Source organism: Homo sapiens, chromosome 18 (assembly GCF_000001405.40).
Source record: "Homo sapiens chromosome 18, GRCh38.p14 Primary Assembly".
NCBI classification, from domain to species: Eukaryota; Metazoa; Chordata; class Mammalia; order Primates; family Hominidae; genus Homo; species Homo sapiens.
In genome coordinates this window covers 31,317,735-31,341,472 of record NC_000018.10, presented here as the reverse complement: position 1 = coordinate 31,341,472, position 23,738 = coordinate 31,317,735, and the positions used below count along the sequence as shown (strand labels likewise).

Here is a 23,738-nt window from a genome sequence, read left to right as displayed (position 1 = left end):
AGCCCAATGTTGATGAAAACTTCAAAAACATGAGTTATTTAAAATCAGAGAAAACCCAGTTCACAAATAAATGTAGCAAAACATATCTGCCACTGTTCACGTGCCAAGAAAAATGAAAGTAGAAAAGATATTTTATACATAAGCGCTCTGACTTCACATTTTGTGTGAGCGTTTGATTTAAATATCTGAGGTACCTTCTGACATTAAGATTTTATGATTCCACATTTGAAAATGACAATGTTTGCATTAATTTAATTGTAATGTGCAGACTGCAACCTACTTACTTTAGAGCTCCTGTTCTCATTTCCCGAAGACTGTGCCATGTGGTTTATCTTGCTCTAATTTCTATCATCATTCGAGGTAATGTTAACAGCCACCTGGAGAGTCCACTGGATTCTACCTTTATAGCTAGACCCTTGACTAGTGCTACCCTAGTGGCCATAGAACATGCTAAATGCTTCATGTGTGGTACTTCTTTTTCATCATCAAAGCACTGTTTTAAGGTAAGTATTATTTCATACATGGCAAAAGCAAGGCTCAGAAAGGTTAGGTGACCTTCGGAAGACTCAGACGATTAGGCTTAGAAACCAGAGTTTAACCCTCGGTCTATTTGACTATCCTTTTATTAATACTATGCAGTGTTAGTATAAATAAAATCTCTTTGAGACCTGGCCCCTGCCTATCTTTTAGTCTAAACTTTCACCATGCTGTCATGCGCATCTTTTATTTCTTGCACACTGGAGTTCTTCATCGCAGTACTTTGCACTCTCATTCTTTTAGGTTTTTGCACATAGATTTTTTTCCCCTTGTATTGTGTTCCCTTTCTCTTGTCCATCAGGCTAATTCTTATTCATCTTTTAAAATGCAACTCAGAGTTTACTCTTTCTCTGTAGCCTTTTCTTTTCTTTTTTTTTTTTTTGAGACTGAACCCCCGCCTCCTGGGTTCAAGCACTTCTCCTGCCTCGGCCTCTTTAGTAGCTGGGATTAGAGGCACCTACCACCATGCCCGGATCATTTTTGTATTTTTAGTAGAGACGTGGGCTTCACCATATTGGCCAGGCTGGTCTTGAACTTCTGACCTCAAGTGATCTGCCAGCCTTGGCCTCTCAAAGTTCTGGGATTACAGGCATGAGCCACCACACCCCGCCCTCTGTAGCCTCTTCTGATTGTCTTCTTCACTGAAATAGCAATTTGAGCCTGCTTGTTATGGCACTTTCCCATTACATTGAGACTTACTGCAAATAAATTTTTATCCTCCACAGTCTTAGAAGGGGTCAAAAAGTTTAATTTTTTCATCTTATAAACCCAGTGCCAAACACAGAAGTTTCTTTATAATTGCACAAAATGAGAATTTGTAAAATACGTTTTATCAAAGAATCAGAAAACTTAACTCCTCCCCCAGCATTTTTTGGGGGACACATATACATAGGATTGCTAAAGTACTTACATCCTAAGACCAAGAATCCCATGATGAGGAGTCCAATGCCAGCAGGACCAAAATGTACATTGTCTGATAACAAATCTTTGGCTCCGTTTCCGGGTTCAGAAGAATATACTTGGCTAGAGTCAGTAGAAGTTGTGCTGGTATCATAGTTAGTGGAAGAAGTACTTTCTTGTCTGCCAGTATTGGTAGTAATTTTAGTGTTCGGCTCTGTATTAGTCCTGTCGTCATTACCAAAACTTTGAATGTTAATATTAATTGTACCAGTGCAAGTTCTTTGAAGATTATCTGTAATAACGTTCAAAATGGAAGAAATATTTTAGACATTTAGTGTAGGAATGGTTGGACAACACAGAATTATTTTTTACATTAACATTTATTTCAGTGTCTTTATTCCCATAATTTCTCCTAACTTGAAAATCATCCCTTGTTTTTGACTCGGTTTTAAAAATCAGTTAAATTATTATATTATTATTTATAACTAACATTATTAGTCATAGTAATACTATTTATTGGATTATTTCTTTACATTACCAATAGTTGGATATTATATATAATTTGAAAAGTATAGAATTACAGAAAGAAGCAAAACAAAACCAGAAACCAAATTCATGGTAGCAGCACCCAAGGACGACACCTGCTGATATTTTTAAAAATGATCTTTTGTCCTTAATTATAATGCCGAATGGTTGCTTATTATTTATGTTACATTGATGTGATCATATGGTTCATTCCATTTTTTTTACTTTAAACTATAAGTATTCTTTTGTATTTTAATAAACTTTGTATTAACATAGTTCCTGATGGTTATATAATTTTATATCAAATGGACCATGGTTTACTTACCCTGTTGCCTATTATTGATGTGGTTTTCAATATTTAATTATTAGTGCTGTAATTAACATCTTGTGCATTCATCTTGTTATATTTAAACTTTTCCTAATATTATTGAAAGTGGAATTATTCAGCAAAAATATGGGAATAATTTGTTTGAGGTTATTTTTGTAATCTTTATTACATAGATGTGAGCTCAGTTGTCTGACTTTATTAATCGATGTAACCCTAGAATCTGGCACAATGGCTGACATTTAGTTAGGACTCAATTATACACTTTCTAAATAAATGAATAAAAACATTCTGGAAGTATATAACAGAAATATGTTTAAATCTAGTCTATATGATATCAAAGCCCATGTCCTTTCAGCTCAACTATGCTAATCCTGTTGTTTTGTTTTTGTTGCTATTTTTATCATTATCATCACATCCTTCTAAACATATATTGTTATTGTTCCATTTTAAAAAAGAGACAACAGCTATAGATGGATTAAATAACTTCTCTAAGATTCTATAGCTAGTAAGTGATGGTGGAAGACACAAATCTAGTCTCATTTCAGGACTCATGGTCTTAGCTACTAAATTATACTGCCTCAAGTTGTTAAAGATATGAGTCTATAATGCCCAGTGTGACAACTTTTGTTGGAAAGGGGTTACTTCAAAATGTGATAGTTAAAATGTTAATATCTTAAGGTATATACAGCTTTCTCTAGAAAAGATAAAAATGTAAATTAATTTCTTACCATCTATAGAGAGAATCGTTCCTTGGTATTTTCCTCCGAGCATATTGTACTGTTCCTTGGTAACTTTATTTTTCAAAGTGAGTTTGCCTGTTCTTGAATCAACAGCTAGCAGGTCAGCTGGATTATTTCCCATTACATACCTGTATTTGAAAGAAAATGATACAAATTAATGTCAGCTATCTAAAAAAAGAAATTTTAATTTAAAATGTATTGTTTTTTTCAGTGAGTAATTATAATCCCTAGATACAGTTTTCAATTACTAGAGACTTTATTTTTTTTCAGGGCAGTCTTAGCAATATGGAGCCACTCAGGGATATATCAAGATTTACATTTAAGAAAAAAAAATTACTGAGCACCCATTTCTGATGGAATGTCTTTTTATGCCCACTTGGATGTCAGAATAATCCTTTGATGCTTGCAGTCTCATTTTCATTTGATTTAAGTAGCAGCAGAACTATTACAGAAGACCCAGATCCTAGGATTTCCCAGGCTGCTCCTAATTCTAAACTATTCTTTTACAAAGAAGTTACTTCATCAGCTTGGCCTGAACTTCCCCCCTGTTTCTGCTCCTCCTTCTCACATGCACTGGAACTTGACAAGACCTCTTTTGAATTCCAAACTAAGGCCTTGCCTTGAGCCTCTATTCTATTCTTTTCTCATCTTTGACTTCGGTGTTTTTCTTCTCATCTATTATTTGTGAAACAAACACTGGTTAGGTAATTCTCTCTCTCTCTCTCTGGCATTCTGCTAAGCTCTGGGTTGCGTCTACCTTCAGTGAACTCACTCCTGTGGGGTACAAGAGCGCTCATCAGCAACATGGTACAGTGTGACAGGACTTCTAACAGAACTACTCACACTATGTGAGGAGAACACCAAGAAAGAACTTATAAAACACATGGGTGGGCTGAGTGCGGTGGCTTAAGCCTGTAATCCCAGCACTTTGGGAGGCTGAGGAGGGTGGATCACCTGAGCTCTGGAGTTCGAGACTGACCTGGCCAACATGGTGAAACCCCTTCTCTACTAAAACAAAAATAGCTGGGCGTGGTAGCAGGTGCCTGTAATCCCAGCTACTTGGGAGGCTGAGGGAGGAGAATCGCGTGAACCCGGGAGGCAGAGGTGGCAGTGAACCGGGATCGTGCCACTGCACTCCAGCCTGGGTGACAGAGTGAAACTCTGTCTCAAAAAACAAACAAACAACAAACAAACAAACAAAAAACCCCCAAACAACAAAAAATGCATGGGTAAAGTGCTTCTCCCATTCTTCTTGTCACAGTCACATGTGCAAATACAGGTACATGTGCACGCACAGATTTTTTTGTGACTTGGTAGAAATATCTGCATATATAGAGTTTTAAAAAATTACATGGTGTAGTTTTCCTTAATATAACCGAATTTTCACACCAGCGTTATTGACCAATATTAAATGCTGAATAAAGTGAAGAATATAATTGAAATGAGCTAATAAAATCTAATTGATTTCAAGCTGAGCAGATTTGCCATCGGAAAATCATTCCTTAAACTCTTCTGAGAGACGAATCACGGCCTGTGGTAATCAGCTAATTGATCAATAAGACATAGAAATACAGGAGTGTCGATACTTTTGAGACATATTATTTTCACATATCACATCTTTACAGTTTAACATCTTACATCTTGCATGAATTTTTATGTTTTCTTAAGTTAAACATTTTAAATGCACAGTTTATAGTACTTTTTACAATTAAATGATAGTTTCAAAAATAATGAAAAGTATTTTAACTCAGATACTTATAATCTATAAAAAGAACATATGTACTTAAGTTCAATATGTAAGGAAAATTAGTTGAAAATCTCATTCTTACCTAACAGTCGTTGAAGGTCTACCTGTGTCCAGGTCAGTAGCTACAAAGTCTCCCACTTTATCATTTGATCCCATATTACCAGTTACAACATATGTCTTTGAACCTGGACGAAACACTGGGCCTTCAATTACATTTAACACAGTCACAGAAATTGCAGATGCTTTCAGTTTATATTGAGACATAATTGAATGATGAAATTCAGCTTTATTTCTGACACCAATACTGAGTTGCAGACTCTGCATAGCTTCATAATCTAAGGGCTAGAAAATACAGAGTAAAATAGTTTCATTATAAGAAAATAAAACGTTCCAGGTGAAAGAAAATCCTTTGATAATAGCAAAAAAAACTTATTATCTTTCTTTTATGAAACACAAATGCACACAAATACACAATCCATTCTTAAATTTTTAATCTTTAATTGATGTAAATTTGTGCAAATAAAGTAAGAAACAATTCAATTCCCCTAGATTCATTGTTAAAAAGTTGAAAACATATGACGTGAGCTCTGATTGTTCACCAAACAAATTAAAAACTTAGAATAATACAGATAGTCAAATGTATGTATTTTTTAGTGCAAAGACAATTTATCCTACCTTCAATCATTTTATGTTTTTCAGAAAGTAGCTATTTATTACACAGTATGGGTCAAATATACTAGAGTTTCAATCATTTGAGTGGTTTTATCCATAAGAACTATTTACAAGAAATTTCACATCTGTAAGTGTGACTCTTTGAATAAATCAGATAATATAATGTAATATATATATAATATAAATAAATCTATTTTCTTCAACATGTTCTAGGAAATATTTATTTCATAAAATAATAAAGTAGTGATTTTCTTTATGAAAAATGATATTAATATCCACAACACATAAAATCCACAAACAATTATGCCATTAGGCCCATACACACCAAATATATTTTTCTAAAATTTCACAAGAGTAATTTAGATAAAAATAGAATTTCACGCATTGAACTCCCCTATTTAGCTAAAATTTTGAATCTTTGTTCTAATATTGGTTTTATTTGCAATTCAAAGAATGGATGTAAAATCAAAAGTATATATACATTACACACACATAATATATATATATGTATATAGCTATAACAAAGGATTTAATATATGATATGTCTGGGCAAACAATTATCATTCCCATTTTACAGATAGAGATATTGAGGACAGATAGGTTGAATAATTTTCTAAAGTAATATAATAGTTTGGGGCAAAATAGATTAGACTCCAATTTCCCCAGTATTGAATCCTAAATAGTATCATGGAAAGAATGTGAACTTCATATCTAGAGAAAACTAGGTTTAAATGTTGGCTGCACTACTTACTAGCTATGAGAACTTATGCAGGTTCTGTGCTCTCTTGGAGCCTCAATGTCTTTATCTGCAATATGGAAATAATATAACCTAATTTGCAGGGATGCTGTGAGGGATAAACTAAAGCACCTGCGTACTGTCTCAAATTAAATACAAGCTGTAGGCATGGTGACACTTTAAGAAGACACAGGAGGCAAAAAGCCACACATTCGTATGGGGACAGAGTCGTTTGAGAGTCTGTTTTCCAGACCTAGTCTGAAAAAAGAAATAGTTAAATAGGGATTATATTTTACCATGAAACTATATATTGCATGCAACATATACAATCCATAAACAGCTGTTGTAGATTTTAAAAATCGACTGTGTAAGTTGTGTAGCACAGGGCGAAACTTTGACTATCAGCTCCCTAGGAGGCAAATTTTTTTTCTCACATCTCAGATGAAATTTTACTGCAGGTAAATGTGGACCATTAATATGGGGAGGACATAAGAGAACGGCATCCAGTTGTTCTGGACCGGTTGACTTGGACCAAATTTCCAGTATATCTGTGTTCCTAATAAGCCTTGATCAGCAGCCACAGTGAGATGGGAGTGTGATAATTCTACATTTATAGTAATTTAACTTAAATTTTATGAAAACACGCGGGAGGAATAAATACATTTTTATTTACATGATGAATATTCTACATGTGTAATAATTGACTTACAATGTTGACATGGACACAGTTTTAAAGCCTCTATTAAATATGCTTTAAAAAGTTCTTAAGACATTAACCTTAAGGATTAATTATACTTTGTTGTAAGCATAAAATATATTTTTAAGTGTTTTCAATTTATATGATCTATTTGGGAGTACTGTATTGACAAACTGTCTCCAGTTAAAATTCAATACCTGTTTTTCTAAAATGATTATAAGCAGAAAGACTATATTAAAAAGCTCTATGTTATATATATATTTAAAACACAGTAATTTTTATTCTTTCACTAAGCCAAGTTTGTGAAATGTTAGCATCATTTTATTTTAAGTTTAACATTTTGAAAAAAGATTAAGAAAACAAAATATTTAGGATAATTATACCATACCTTAACAACCTTTAAAATTCCCACATTTGTTCTTTCATTCATTTCTATCTCAAACCAATTTCCTTCATTTCCAGAGATAAAGAAAATTACTGCCATCCAGTTAGCTGAGAACTCTTCATCCAAATCAATTACTCTAATCTCGAGCAAATTTGAATTTAGAGTATTTTCTTGAATTTCTATGGTATACTGAAACAAGAAGTGAAAACTCTTAGCACAAACTGTGTGAAAGAGAGAGAACTACAGTAGGCTTATACTGGAATGTTGATAACTTCATTATTTAGAAAAGATATCTGTGGTTTTCATCTCATTTTTCATTGCTTAACTCCATTTATTCTTGCATAAACACAAGAAAAAAGTATGTGTCTACATTTGGGTTGTATGTCAATAAACATAACATGTGCCTCTGTAAGCAGAATTGTTCGTATATGTTTTAGAATATAGCGAATTTAGATTTATTAATTCCAAGAACAAATACTTACTGAAGACTGTTCCATGTAAGGGATATTATCATTGACATCGAGGATTTTAATGTTGCACTCACATTCCGCTGACATGCCATCTGCCCCGCCATCTCGGTCAGAGCCTCTTACAGCAAGAGCATACTGGCCGTATTGCTAAAAATACATATTACAGGCAATATCACACTTGACGTAGACAGCCTTTACTTTGTCTTATGTAAAGTTCTTTGAAAAGTTGGCTCAACGTTTACATAAATCTATGATAGAGGTAGGGTTAACACAGAATATGGGAAATCCACAAGTTTCACATGATTATTCCCAATAATACTTATCACGCATTATTTAAAAGATGCAACACGTTTTAAAAGGCTTCATTTCTTATTAATAATAATATGTCCAGAGGTTGAAAAAGTTTATAAAGGGTAAAACAAACCAGAATGATCTCAAGGAGAGAGATTAAGTTTACCAAAAATTTATGGCATGAATATTCCATAACCTAAATAATCAGCCCCCGAGTGTGCAAGAAGCATATAAACAGATAACAAAGCTTTGTGTTTTGAGAGGTAGTGGGTTATGGCAGTGGAATTATTGGTGATGTATCTATTCTTGACTCTATTCAATGGTGCTTATATTTCTAGAAGCTGGTAAAATCTATGGAGGCTTTCCTTGACTCATGCAAAAATGCACACTCATTCAAAATGGTGGATATAATTTAGGGGGTTTTATAGAGACATCTTGAGGTCTCTCCATTGACCCCAGGTTGAGAATATCTGCCCTGGTGGCTTCCCAATGGCTGCAGAGTCCCTTTCCTTCTGACAGCCCTTTCTTACAGTGCTTTACCACGAAAGCTCTTTTGACATGAAAGAAACCTCATTGGGCTGTTTAAGACAGTTTGAGAGAGAAAAGTGTAAACATTCAATTTCTTCTAATGTTGATTTTCAAACATGTATAAAAGGAGACTTAGGTAACATAGAAACTTGTAACATTTAGATAATTAAAGAGTATTAAAATAATATGAATTATCCTAAACCTAAAAGTCATCAGCAAGAAGATTGTCATTTTTAATAATTAAAACAAAATTAATTGAATACCATCAGAAAATAAAGCTTCCTCACTTATGCTCCTAATGTACATTTAGGTTGCAACATTCTATTAAAAGACAATTTTTTTTAAATAATGAAAAAGCACTTATTTTAAAACTAAATCATAAAATCACAAGGCATGCTAGAAACCTCATAATGCTGATTTTACTCTGTTAACATCACTAGTTATTTTCTTATTTGTAAATAAAAAGATTGGTCAGTCTGTCATTTAATTCCTATCCATCATTCTTATCCTGTGGTTCATTTCCCAAAGTAAATGAATGGGTGAGCTATCAATAGATGTTACATAGGAAAAACAAGAATTCTGTTGTCAATGGAGCTTAGATATGCTAGGTTAAAGAAAGAGAACTTAGTGTATCAATATTCCTGGAGCCTCCAGCATACTCGCATGCACTGTAACTCACCAAAACGTGGACATATAGCAAGTCATTCCTAAATTCATTTTATTATAGAACACACTTTTTAGAGAAATGGAGCTTTTGATTCTACCTTAGATTCTACCTTAGGCATATTTTCATGTACTTTCACAATATAGTTTTCTTAAATTGAAGTAAATTTTAATCAATTAATTATATGAAAAATAGTACAAAACGTAATTGAAAAATCCTCCCTTTTTCATTTAAAAAATATTTCTTACATGAAAGAATTATGTGAAAAAGTTATACAAGTAAAAATTTAAACCATCATTTTCTTCATCTCTTTGTCTCTTCAGTATCCTTGCTTTTAGAATCAGTTCCTTTGAGACCAAAAACCCACTTAAAGAAAAAGAATTACCTCTCTGTCTAGAAAATTATTCATCGTTCGAATTTCTCCAGTATTTCTGTTGATAATAAACATTGGTGAATCTGAAGGTTCTTGTCTTATAATCTTGAAGGCTATTTTTGAGTTCAAATTGTTCGGTTCATCTGCGTCAGTAGCATTGAGTATCATCACCAGTGTATCTAGAAATTAAGGAAAATTGATTGCAAATGGGTGATTTACATTTTTGTTACAGTAGAGTATATCACCTTTCCAAAAAAGTGTTAGAGTTAGTTGATCCTTATGATGTGGACTTCACTGTCTTCCCTTTCTACTCCTTCAACATATGGATATCTTAGCTCTTTTCTATATCTTTGCCTAACAAGAAGATCACATTTTACTAGGAATCTAGACATTGTTGATAACTGGGAAACAAAGGAAATGTGTTATTCTGGCTTTCTATTTCTTCTTCTAGCATATTTTCTTCTTTTTTAAAGGATGCTGTGGCGAAACAAAATGATAATAAGGCCAGACCAACATTTTCCCAACTTTCTCAACACTTTCTAGCTATATGATCTTGGCCTCAATTTTTATATCTATAAATGGGGATGATATTACTGCCATCCTTACTGAATTCATGTGAGAATTAAATCATTAATAAGAGAAAACTATATAAAGTTCCTAATGAATAATGCACGTTTGATAAATATACATTACTACTGTTTTGTTTTGGGTGATCCTTCGTCAAGTGCAAGGTAATTAGTAGATCTAAAGAAATGCTTGCTTAACTACACATATTGTCCTGTCTCTTATCTTTTCATTAATTTTATAAGTAGTTTTGATGAAGATTATTAGATTATTGGAGAATGTGGAAAACTGCCAGTGCTCATTCATAACTTTGGAATTGTTCTCTACTCTCCAACTCCATTTTAAATACAATTTTCCTACAAATGCTTCATGGCATCTGTCATCCCCCACCTGTATTTATTGTAGCATAACCTTTAAAATGTTTTCACTAGATAATTAACATTTATATACACTTATGTAATTTATATAATTAAATTCCATGCAACTATTGAAAGCAGTGAAACAATTATGTGTCCTGATATGGAAATATGTTCAAAATATATTTATATAAAAATTCATGTTGTGGATTAGCATGTAACAGATGATACCATTTATGTTAAAAAACATGTGATTTATGTTTACATAATTATGGAGCGCATGTACACAGTGCATACCTCTGAAGAATGGTACTAGGAAATGCAGACAGCAGATTTTTGTTCCCTTTTACTTTCCATATTACATAAATTTAATGAGCATTTTATAATAACACTTTTAAAAGTTGAAAGTATAGGTACAGTATTTTAATGAATAAAAGTAAAGTGTAGGGATTTTTGGAATTCACAAGAAATTTTATCACTTAAAGGTTAAATCACAAAAAGAAGTTTTGTGTGGAAGTGATTTCTATAAGTGATTTTAAAGTAGCTAACTTTAAAAAAGGGGAAAAAACGCAGTAAGAGCAGAAAAGGGTGGGATTGTCCTTCTACACAGTTAGACTGGGAGGCTAAATTCACATCCCGATGCCTCTGCCACCATTGTGCAAAATGCCTTTAAAATTTCTTGTTAGGACTCTTCTACAGGGCTGGCCTGCGAGTTATGTGAGAAAAATCCTCCTCATTGCTTTGGAATCACGCCTTGTGTCCCTCAGTTTGGAGCTGCTTCCGTAGTTGAAAGGAAAGACTTGCTATTCTGCATCTTTTCTATAGTTTATCTCTTACATTCATGATGTGTACTTTGACATAGTTTAGTCTCCAGTTAGGTGCCTGGCTGTTAGGAGTGATTTGGAAGCCACTACATTACTTACTTGCATTAGAATTTTCTTCTATTTGTCCTGCAAATGTAGCCATTGAAAACACTGGAGGGTTGTCATTTATATCCAAAACCCTGACTCTGAGCTCTAGAGGCCTCTCTAAATCTTGGCCCATTGAGTTCAGAGCTCGGCAGTAGATCTGGGAGAGAAAAGATAAATAATTATACAGTGAAACACAGATTTATTAAGTTCTTACTTTGAGCATTATGCTAGCACTGTGGCGAATTAAAAGAATTATTATGTCTACTTAGAACATAGGCACAAGCCCTACTTACAGTCACTAAGGGAAAGCAAATGTGGCATTCTTAAGCTAGGTAGTAGCTACATGGGGGTTTATATTATTATTATGATTATTATTATTACTATTATTATTTGTATTTGAAGCGTCCCTAAGTGTAATGTGTACTATTTTACAAAATGGCATATTTCATATATAAAGGCATTATGATACTAGCCTGGGCAATATAATGAGACCCTGTCTCTAAAAAAAAATAAAGACGTAAAAAAATGCATTATGCCCCAAGAAAAGCTAACAGGGTAGCATGCCTTTTTAAAGTTTGTGGGGGATCATTGTGGGACAGAAGGGAGAAATAGAGATTTGGAATTGAAGGCTAAAGAATTAAAGTTGTGTGAGGAATACAGGCAGGCGGTGTGAGTGAAAACTGCAAATATCGATTATTATTTGAAGGTATTTTGGGATACGGACTGGTGGGGTTTTAATAGAAGAGGTAACAGGAGCAAAATAGGGTTTCTTTATTTCTATTTTTAATATTAAGAAGTGTTGGCCATGACGATAGAGAGAAATGGGAGTAGCCAAGGAGCCAGCAGAAGGGAGACAGAAAACAGAGGTGATGGAATGATTCTCCAAGTAAGTGGCAATTATAGGACCATGGAAATGTCTTGGAATATGCTGTGAGAAAAAGCAAACAATTGATCCTGCTTTTGATTTAATGAAGAACATTTCTGAGCTGGGCGAGTGAGAAATAATTATGGGAGTTTGTGATGGATGGCCTCAGCCTTTTTCATAAAGTTGGTCACAAGGTCAACTGCTTAAAGTGGAAATGAGGTTGAGGGTTTGAAGAGATAGGATACTTAAGCTATGTGACAGCTCCTGTAAAGAATGGAGTGAGATTCACTTAAGAATGGATGCATTTTCAAGGTGCATTTGGAGCTCAGGTGAGCTTGAGGAATATGAATTTATAGTAAAGTATATTTGCTCAGAAAACAGTCCTGCAGTAGCTCTAGAATCATTTACTTGTCATTAGACCTAAAATAAGGTAACATTCTTTACTGAATTTATAATAAAGTATATTTGCTCAGAAAACAGTCCTGCAGTAGCTCTAGAATCATTACTTGACATTAGACTTAAAATAAGGTAACATTCTTTACTGAATTTTTTAAAAAAGGAAAAATTAAAAAGTTAGGTAATTGTCCTTCCAAACAAATACTCTAGTTTGCCAATGAGGACAGTATAGAGGTTAGCATTTTTGCTGACACTTAAGTGAAACATTTCCTTCTCTCTTAATCTTTGCATTTCTTTTCAGTCGTGGGATGCTCGTGAATTAAGAAACAACCAAAAATGCCAAATATTGAGACTCTTGAAATCAAATTAAGTATGATCTGAGATTAAGAACTTCTGAGAAGAATTTAAGCATGAACATATATATTGACATGAAGTCCACTTACAATGAAGAAAGGAGTGACCTCTCGATCAACTATGGATGTTATATTAATTTCACCAGTTTTCTGATTAATGACAAAGATCCCATATGGTGGCTGATCAATTCCTACTCCAGAGATGCGGTATGTAACTTGCTGGTTTGCAGCACAATCTGAGTGAATCTGCAGAAGGAACACAAGTAAAAATATTAGAGGGAGCAAATAGAGTTCTATATTTGATATACGACAGCTTTCTTGAGAGTTGTTGCATGTGATGACCTTGTTATTTAGGAAATGTTGTCAATGGAGATTATTTTCCTAGATAAGAGTAACAATTACAGCTCTAATATTTTCAATGGTAACTGACAATGTAATCAAAGAAATTCGGTTTCTGCTTCTATGAAACATGAAAAAATGCGAAATATCACCCTACTATATCTAAGTCTATGCAATCATCATGCATGACTTCATTCATTCAACAGTTAAAATTTGATCTTGTATTATTTGCAGGGTCTGTGCTTGCACTGGAGCTACAGAAGGAAACTCTTTGCCCTCTTAAGGAGTTTATCAATGTTGTCATCATGCAACTTTAATCTTCAATTTGTTTTAAATGTAAAGTTTTCGAAGAAAGTAGATTTATTTAGGTGACAAGAGTTATCTGGGTTTGAGTGGAAGCTCTGAATTCTGAAAATGGGAAGGGTGTATTAGCAGAAAAGGAAGGAGACCACGCGAATAAATGGTTATAGAAACCAGAACTCTTTCTTTGAAATAAAATATTGTTTGGCTGTAAACAAATCCTAGTGGGGAGTATTTGTGAGTGTCTGTGTGGATGAATGTGTATATTCGTGTGTGTATCTGTGGACGTGTACATCTGTATGTTCATGAATTTGTGGGGGGTGTTTCTGAGTGTGTGTGTATGTAGAAAGGAAGATATGGAAAAATGAATAGAAAAGGGGTATGAGAGAGGGCACCTTGTGAATGTTAATAAACAAACAAAAAAGTAGGAATTCAATTCTAATACATTGTGAGGCAAAAAGAGCACACATTGAAGTAATTCCTTTGAATGTGCTGAAAGCCAAATTCTTTATTAAAATAATGATCTTTTTTCATCTGGAGTTTGGGATAACACATGATCATGTGTATGCATTTCACCAATGAGGTGAGTCAACGTTTGCCTGTTTCTCTGAGCACCTGCATTTCTTAATTTCTCCTTATGAGTTTCAGTTTTCATCATCTAGGTGACTATAGTTCTGTTCTGTATCGTAGCTTCTCGGTGAGACATGTTCATGAAATATTTAGCAGACAGTTTCTTTTGAAACTTTATCCATTCTGATTTTCAATGTTATGCTTTGGAGTTGATACCTACTTTGGCGATTGGGTTCCTCTTTGAGTTGTCTTCACCTTCACGACAGGCTGCTGCGAACTTGATCCATTCACGTTTCTGCCTTCGGATTGAATGCCATTTGATGGTGCCATTTTTAGTGTTATAATCTCTTACCTTAAATGACAGCAATAAAGAAATGGTATATATTAATTTGAATTCGTAATTCAAATTCCACTGAGATTTTTGGAAGAGGTTATAATCTCAGAAATAGAGGATGTTTAATTGGGAAAATTGGTAATTTTGGTAATCTATTAATTTTAGCATTATATGAACTTGACTTATGAGAATACATTTTCTTCAGAAAACATATTGTTATTCTCAAATTATTTTCTTGTTTAAAAATTTGGAAAAATGGATTTGTTATATATTACCTGGATTCGGAATTCACTGTTAACTTCTACCACCACCTGTAAAAAATAAGATAATCACACTAGTTATTTTTTAATTAAATGCTTTAAAATTTATATTATCCAGTTACTTTAAAAACAACATGAAACCATAGGCTTGTGAGTCATTAAAATTATTTTATCAGCCAAATAGCAGGTGGATTTGGTTTATGTCTTGGGTCTGATGATGATGCTAAGAATTTTTGTTTTTACCTTTCAATTTACTCTTCTTTTTATTACTATTATTTTGTACTTGTATTTCTCCCTAAATAAGAAATTTTTAACTTTTAATTGAATTTATTCAGAATTGCAAAGTATGAAAACTTTATTTGTATAACTGATATAAGAAAATTATAGTTTACATTTAAAAATACTAACAGTAGTAATTTAAAAATATAAAAAAGTTCTTTTTATAGTTAATTTTAATTGTAGCATTAAAGAAAATATGAACTTAATGTCTCTAAGTATCTACTTTAAAAAAATTGCCACAATAGATAATTCAGAAAATAAGTATTTATGATCAATATGAGAAGTATAAAAAGATAATGTTTTTATTATGAGAATTACATATCCATTGTGTATCTAATATTAATAATTATGATTGTTATTACTCTTATAATTTGTTAAATAATAGCTAGGTATTAGGTTATGTATTTATGTAAATCTATGCACTTAATCTTTACAACAAATACATGTGGTCACCACTAATACTATCTCCATTTTACAGATGAGGAAATTGAGTCTTGGATATTAACCTATGGCTAAATATAATTCAATACAATTTAGCATAAATTTTCACTTGAGCTGTGGGTTTTACAATAAAATATGAGATAGCCTATTCCCTCAAGTAAATTACTACTAAGAAAAGCATGCTACAAAGAATTTATATTGCAACTTCAAGAACTCAAAAAATTCTGATTTTAAACTAACCTATTATCCTTGTGATTGGTGATATTTACATACGACAATAGGAATACAGCATGAAGAAAAAAAAAAGAAAAGTAAATGGCCCAAATTTTAAAACATGTAACTGAAATGTTATCTGTAGAGCCCATCTTGGGTGCAGAACTGAAATGATGAAATGGTGTTCATGTAAATGCATGCTCCTTGCTGCCTGTGAATTTATGAACACTTTTCCCTCTCTCTTGTTTGTGAGTGTGGGATGGGAGATGGGCATACCTTATTTGTGTGTTTGAAAGCCATTTCTTCATAGCTACAGAATTGTGCATGGATCTGTTATCTGTTATTGCGCTTCCCTTACTGCATTGGAGCGCCAGTGCTTGCTGTTTGTTTTGGAAAGCTATGCAGATGACTAAGAAATCTTTCCAGCTTTATGAAGCTGGGTCACTCTTTTTCCCATGAGAGACAATTTGGGCAGAAGACCAAGTAGCTTTCACCATACAGTCAGACTCTCAACTGGATTTGTAATCTAAAAACCGCCAAGTCTGCTTAAAAATGTGGTGGGTTGGTGTAAGCTTATTTTCTGTTGCTCAGAGTCTAGAATAAACTCTGATACAAAGTCACTCTTGGACTTTCAAAGGCAAAATAGTGAAATCTGACTCTTGATAGAGTTGGAAAATCTTCAACGTATTTCCCCAATTCTCTGAACTTTAGTTTTCTCACTTGTAAAATGACAAGAGTAGACTAAATTTTATACAGGTAACTTTCCAGCTGTAATATTAAATGCCTGTGTGCAGTAGGAAAATATTGAAGTATTTAGATGTGAGAAGAGCATGATAAAATTGTGGTTTTAAAGCTAACTCTGACAACAGTTGGTAGGACTAGTGGGAAGAGGCAGTGATTACAGACGGTGAGCAGTTGAGGGTCTCTGTATCAAAGCAGACTGGAGGTGAGAAGGAGGTACGCTGGAGCAGAGACAGAGGGAATGGATGGGGAAAGATCAAGGGATACTGCAGCATAGCATTGGCAGGGCTTGAGAACAAATGGGATGGGGGTGTTCGAGAGAGGGAGGAAGCTCAGGGGATGGCAGTTTTAAACTGTGGGATTGGGAACAAGACAGTAATAGAATTTAGCAGATTAGAACACATTGAGTTTGAGATGCCAGATAATGCCTGGGTGAAGATGATCAGCAATTGGAAACATGGATCAAAACTTGAGCAAAAGTTCAAGCTGGATATGTAGATTTGAGGTAGATCTGCTCAGGCAGGATAGTTGAAATCGTGAGAATTTGAAATTTCCAAAGTAGAGGATACAGTCAAGAATCAGCCTGCAATTGAGGATAAAACTAGAAGAGTTCCTACATTTATAGAACTAGGAACAACGACAACAAACAAACAAAAAAAAAAAAAAGGAAGGAGAGGGCCGGGCGCTGTGGCTCACGCCTGTAATCCCAGCACTTTGGGAGGCCGAGGCGGGTGGATCACGAGGTCAGGAGACTGAGAACATCCTGGCCAACATGGTGAAACCCCGTCTCCACTAAAAATACAAAAATTAGCTGGGCGTCGTGGTGCGTGCCTGTAGTCCCAGCTACTTGGGAGGCTGAGGCAGGAGAATCAATGGAACCCAGGAGGCGGAGGTTGCAGTGAGCCGAGATTGCACCACTGCACTCCTGGGGACAGAGCAAGACTTTGTCTCAAAAAAAGAAAAAAAAAAAAAAAAAAAAAAGGAAGGAGAGAAGGAGTGGCGAAAGAGAGAAGGAATGGCGAAAGAAACAATAGGAAAATATAATGCATTATAATGGAGGTCAGAGGAAAAGGAAAACGGAAAGACAGATGGGGTTGAAAGAGATGAGGTAAAAAAGTTGAGCAGAGTGAATTCTGAGGAAATCCTGAGGTTCTGAGGGACCTTCAAGAGAATATTTTTAGCTGGATGGAACATGCACTTGCTTGACAGCAAGGGATTAGGAAATGAGAGGAGGAGAGGAGGACATAAAGATGGTCACTTTTTCAAGACATTGGTGATAAAAGGGAACAGAGGGACAAGATAGTAGCATTTTTTTTTGAGAGAGGGTAACCTAAGGATTTTTGAAAGTTAAGATAGAAGCTAGGAGGAGATTTTGATTTAAAAGAAGAGATGTTCAGCAGGAAGATTCTCATAGAAGTGTTGTGATAGGGAGAGCAGGAGAGAATGGGCAGAAAAAGAAAGGACCTCAAAGACAAAGGCAAGGAAAGATAGAGATTAAAATCGATCAATTAGGAAAGGGAAATTGGAAGACATTGTACTAAATGACCTAGACTTTGTCCCTGGAGTAAGGGTGAGGTGGATGGAGATTAAAATCAATAAACTGGGGAAGGGAAATTGGAGGACACTCTCCTAAATGACCTAGACCTTGTCCCTGGAGTAAGGGTGAGGTTATTTTCTGACAATTAGGGGAGAAGTTTGGATTCCCAAATGAGTTTGGAGTCTGTGCTATGGAGGCTGTGATGGAGATTTACCTAGAGATGAACACAGAGGTTATCAGGCTGACTGAGTATATCTCAGCTGTTTTGCCCAGTGGATAGGGACTTTGGGGTAAGTCATTAAATCAATCTGTGCTCAGTTTCCTCAGCTGTATATGAGACTAAAAGTCCCCTCTAGTCCTAAAATTCTATGAAAACAGTAAATAATTCACCTGAAATACATCCTCAATGAGTTTCCCCTTCATTTCTGTTTTAGGAACCAATCCATTTATGTACTTTTTAAAAGCTACAGGAGACAAAATCACAGGCTAATTTTAATAAATCCCCAATTACAGTAATTTTTAATGTTTTCCTTTTTAATATTGAAGTTCATGCTTCCTTGCACATAATAAAAATGGGTTTGAGAGTAACAAGCTATTTTTATTTAAAAAATCTCTTGCATTTAATAATTGTGAGATGGTCTTCCAAGTCACTTTTTGCTAAGCGTTGAATTCTAACATAATTGTTACGTTTTTGTTAAGCATTCAATTCTAATGTAATTGTTAACTTTTATATACATCGCAAGGATGCACTTGAAACAAAGCTAAAATATCACAATTTGCTTTATTTAAAAACCTCCTCTTATCTTTCCTTTGTACTGCTCTGACAAAGGGTATCAGTCTGAGGTTGACAGCACCTTAATGGGTTGAATTCTCTAATTTATTCTTTTCGTTTGTGTATTTTACAAGTACATACTGAATGTGTATTATGTGGATCCAACACTAGATTAAGACTTTTAAAGGCCTGAAAATATTATAGTAAGTCTCAGGTGAAATGTAAAATGAATTTAATACTACACCATTAAAATGTTGGGGAAATCCAGTATTATTATTTCTATGTTTAATAGCGTGATAATTTTTTGGAGTGTGTGGGGGAAGAGCTGTATAAACTATCCAGAAACTTCCTTGTGGTACCTCTGCTGTGTGTGATTAGACATCTTTTGAGCAATCTTGCACTGGTGCAAGGCACCATAAGGGATACAAAGGCAAATCAGACACAGAACCTGCCTTCAAATAACTTACAGTCTTGCAGTTTTGAGAGCAACAGGCAACCATTAATTTGTAGAGATATGATTTCTCATTAGACGAGTATGAAAAACTGTGGCCTATTCTCATAGACCAATTAAGAGCATGGATCAGCAGCCAATGGCATTTAAAAAAATTTGATCTGTCTAAGTCTATTGAAGGAATTTGCATATCAAGCATAATCAGCAAGGGTGGCATGACCCAGCACTGGGCAAGGGTGTTCCCTGAGATGAGGGAGCATTATAAATCTAATTGCGGTGCCTGGCACAGCAGGCTTCCTGCTGATATGTTAGGCAATGTCTATTAGGACACAGGGATACTCAGCAACCAGGTCTTTGATGAATGTGTTGTGGAGAAAGAGTTACCAGAAATTAAGTGCTCTGGGTATAGATAAGATAATTTTCTAGATTGATGAGATTTGTTAAATAAGTGAATCTTATTCTAGGGTCAGCCTTTCAGATTTAAGACAGCATTCTTCAGTGCTTTAGTTTCTACTCTTTTCCTAAAACAGGGATGACAAAATGTTTTTACTTTGTGGCAACTCAAACCAATTGAGCGATGATAAATGTGTACTCCTTGTTTCTGTAAAGGTGATAGAAGATGCTAATCCTAAATCTACAGCGAAATAATAAAGCTTTTATGAACACCATATAACTGTTAATGATGACACTTGAATGCAATTTGTAAGTTTCACTGAATACGTGAACAGAAATATTCCTTCCATTTTCTACAAAATATTTTACTGAAACACTGATCTCTATACTACATATCACTATAATACACGCTCAAGAAAGCACAAAGAGCTCTCTCTTTTGCTTGTCTTCTGTTTGGTCTGTACTAATTTGTTAGTTCTTCTCTTGCTTTAGGCATCTGTGAACACAATTTTGGGGACTTAAGATGTCTTCAAGTAAGTTTAGGAACTATGTAATGAAATGTGTATTATTTTCTGTGTATTTTAGCCTGAGTGATGAAAGTACTCTTAAAAACTCCTGCTCATATTTTACAGAATTTCAGTTCGGTTCAAACTGTGGAGTTAGTTTATCAGGTGTCAGAGGGTTGGGTTTTTTTTTGTTTGTTTGTTTCGAAATGAAATATTAACCCATAGAAAGAGGGGGAAAATGGTTACTATAATGAACCAAAATAATCAGATCATTCATGGTCATAGATAAAAGTCATTTTCTCTGTTCTTTGAGCTTGAGCTGCAGAAATTTACCTTTTTAGAAAAAGACATCTTCAGATTTGTATTGACTTAAATGGACTAATTGGACCTGGCAAAGTTGCAAGTAATTTTCAGAAATCATTAAAACCATAGAGATCCCTCTGGCTCTGTTTTGCTTTCCCACAGTGACCATGCTGTACTTTTTACCATTGTCATATACATGCACATAGATTTCTTTTATTTGGTGCATAAGAAGCATTGTTCTCAGGCCTAGAGAAAATACATTCTAACTCCTTTCTCTACTCCATACACTGATTACATGGAAACAAAAAGAAGAATGAAAAATAGATGCAGAATTAACAAAATGTGTTTGACTTGCAGTGTTATAGCAGGTGTAATCTCTTGCCTGTCCAGGAGACTTGTCAGAACAATGGAATAGCCATAGAGCGATCTTGATTGCTGTAAGAGCAGCTCCTCCAGCTTTGTTCTCCCTGATTCAACCCACTCATTTGAACAAGGTTCACAACCTTCAGATGCATTGAGATGAATACACAGTATGCTTGCAAACAAATAGTTACCCAGTTCTCAGGTAGATTTGCTTAAAAGACACTACCAATTTAAATATCTTAAAGGCCTTAACAATTGTACAAATACGCTTCCTAATGCAGGTTCCCGCTTATTGACTTTGAGTAGAGACGAATATAAAGACTTTACATAAATTTTTTTTCATTTTTTGGTAAAAGCATGCATTTATAATGAGACTAGGAGAAAGATAACTGAAAGAATTTGCTATAGTGGTGGTTGTTTTATGAAGAAAAAAAGTATTTTAAAGAAAAATACAGATTAGGAAACTCCAAAGCACAATTACCAAAATTATCCCATGTGGTAAAATCTGTACTTAAAATAAATTTTGATCTTCCAAACCTTAGAAAGTGAAATGTTTTCCAAAAAAACCTATGATGTCAACGTGAAAATGAAACATTGTAATTCATGATAGTGTAAGTTCTTTGAGAAAAAATTTTCATAAGGCATGTGGGAGACTTGTGATTAATTTCAATATAAAATAAGGTAACCTCCTCTTCCCCCATTCCCAAAAAAACCCCCATAAGCCAACAAAAAAAAATCTAGGCACAGCTAGAGAAAGTTCAATAAAGATATATGATTTTGATGATGATACATTTTATTGAAGAATGACTAAATAGGAAGTGGCTGTTTAAAGAAATTTGATATGCTATAATTAATTTGAAATAAATAAATCAACAAATAAGGCACATCTTAGAGATTCTATGAAAGTTAGTGTACACCTATCTGAACAAGCTGATCAACTAAAACTATAATAGCTCTTAATGGATCAAATTTATTTGAAATTTTAAGTAAAAGTGCTTGATTACTGACAATATGAAACTCTCATATTTCAAATGACATACTGTATAATGATCAGTGATCCCTACCAAATCCTAAGTAATGAAATCAACTGATCCTAAATATCCACTGAAAAGAGCATGGGATAGGACTAATGTTTGAAGGAAAGCTTGGAACCAAAGCCACCAGCTTACTGATGCTCATTTATAACTAAATCCACTGATTATGTCCCGCCTTAGTTAATAAAACTGAATTCAAACTAACCAGCATACTTTGAATCAAAGATCTAACTTATTATACCAACCAACCCAACATTCCAGTTCAAAAATTAAGCAAGTAGAAACAAATGTGAACCACAGCACTATACATCCTGCCAAGCTGGAGGGCAATTTACTTGGCACCTGCCTTTTTGAATTACATTAACCTTACTATGAGAGAGATTACAATTTTCAAATTTTCACTGAAAGTGAAATTGACATAATACATTAGTGGTGCACTTAGTATTATCTCTACAGCAAGAAAACTAATTACATGTAAGGGGGCAATGATAAAGTATTTCATTACATTCGTCAGACGATCAAGTGCACAACTTTTATATCGCAGTCATCACTGACATTCCAGTAGTAAGATCGAGTGTAATAATAATTATACTTACTCTTTAATTATAGCCACTTCTTCACTTAATATGTCATTTATAAACCTCCTGTACTGCCGTTTTTTGAAATTAAAAATGTTTTAAATAAAATCATAGTTAAATAGTGCGGGGCTTTTTATAGTAGTGATACAGATTCTAACCAAATATGCAACTGATGACTTTATTTGGATAGCGAGACCAGCCACAAACTGCTACGATTTTAAATTATGTGGTGCTATTTTTATGTTTTAAAAATTAGAGTAATTCCACCACCAAACACACAAAAAAAATAAAAAAAAAAACAGGTTAAAAATCCAGACACACTTGTGATATTTAGTTTAAAAGCCCTCTTGCAGAAGAGATTTTGAACGACAAAGTGCTACTAACTAGCGATAGGAATTTCCTAAATTCAGTCTTTTCCCAGCATGACTTAGCAATGACTTCAGTGTCAGAGATGTAATACAATGAGTTGACACTGAGGCATTAACATGATCTTGAGTCTTCAATTAAAGAGAGAAATGCTATTGAAAAATCTAGTTCATAAAATCATCTTGTCATTAATATACATTTTCAATGGGTTTAGGTTAGAAATAATGCCCACTAACATTTTCTAAAAAGTTTTCACTTGTTTACAATGGGCACGATTATGAAGGACTTTTACCAGAATCCACTCACCAGAAAAATGAACAGCATTGCAACTACTCTGAAGAAACTCCAGTCCATCTCTGCTGGATTCTCTTACATCCAAGACCAAGGGAGTTTTGTTTGTTCTTCTCTGTTCTTTTTCTTTCTCCCACTCAGCTGGTGTCTGATTAAAATAATTTCTCAGTAGATGTTCTTACATGCAGGCTTTGAGGTGTTTCTGCCTTCCTCTGGGAGAAGGACTGAAGGTACGTATAACCAGTCTGGATCCCCACCCTAAAAACTTGGGCTGGTCTCACTGAAATGCTTGACAAGATCATCATTGCTCCCAGGTAAAAACTTGGGGACACACCCTTCCTCCAGCTGAAAAGCGACTCTTGATGGGGCAAGGAAGATTCACTCCTTTACTGAATGTTTTCAGTGGCAGGCTCTTAAAGTGAACAGAAATACCGAGGGTTATACAGGTGATGGGGGCTTCTCACCCCATGCTTTCTTTACAGGTGGTTTAGTTTCTCCCCATATTAAACAGGCAGGTATAACTTGAATGCTCATCTTATTCATTCCATTATCTGTTTGTAGCCAAACCCTCAGGTCATAGTAGAAAATGACAAACTTTCCATTTTAGTAGATGTTGGGAAAGTTTCAGT

At 34.4% G+C, this 23,738-nt stretch overlaps 1 protein-coding gene across 1 annotated transcript in view, besides 1 other annotated feature; it reads right to left on the bottom strand.

Moving 5' to 3' along the window:
* DSG1 (desmoglein 1) overlaps window positions 1–23,313 on the bottom strand; it is a 41,087-nt gene extending 17,774 nt beyond the window's left edge. Inside the window, exons 1-11 of the mRNA NM_001942.4 lie at window positions 23,125–23,313; window positions 14,857–14,892; window positions 14,468–14,599; window positions 13,129–13,284; window positions 11,437–11,581; window positions 9,606–9,772; window positions 7,750–7,884; window positions 7,271–7,456; window positions 4,860–5,119; window positions 3,019–3,158; window positions 1,448–1,729 (exon numbers count right to left, since the gene is read on the bottom strand). Of these exons, the coding sequence (NP_001933.2) occupies window positions 1,448–1,729; window positions 3,019–3,158; window positions 4,860–5,119; window positions 7,271–7,456; window positions 7,750–7,884; window positions 9,606–9,772; window positions 11,437–11,581; window positions 13,129–13,284; window positions 14,468–14,599; window positions 14,857–14,892; window positions 23,125–23,172 (1,687 nt within the window). The 5' untranslated portion in view covers window positions 23,173–23,313. The remainder of the gene's footprint in view (window positions 1–1,447; window positions 1,730–3,018; window positions 3,159–4,859; window positions 5,120–7,270; window positions 7,457–7,749; window positions 7,885–9,605; window positions 9,773–11,436; window positions 11,582–13,128; window positions 13,285–14,467; window positions 14,600–14,856; window positions 14,893–23,124) is intronic.
* Window positions 11,208–11,730: an enhancer, noted in NCBI's record as "NANOG hESC enhancer chr18:28909706-28910228 (GRCh37/hg19 assembly coordinates)". NCBI's record gives its function as "activates a minimal SCP1, AML or CMV promoter by ChIP-STARR-seq in primed H9 embryonic stem cells {active_cell/tissue: H9 hESC(primed)}" and the evidence as "EXISTENCE:reporter gene assay evidence [ECO:0000049][PMID:30033119]".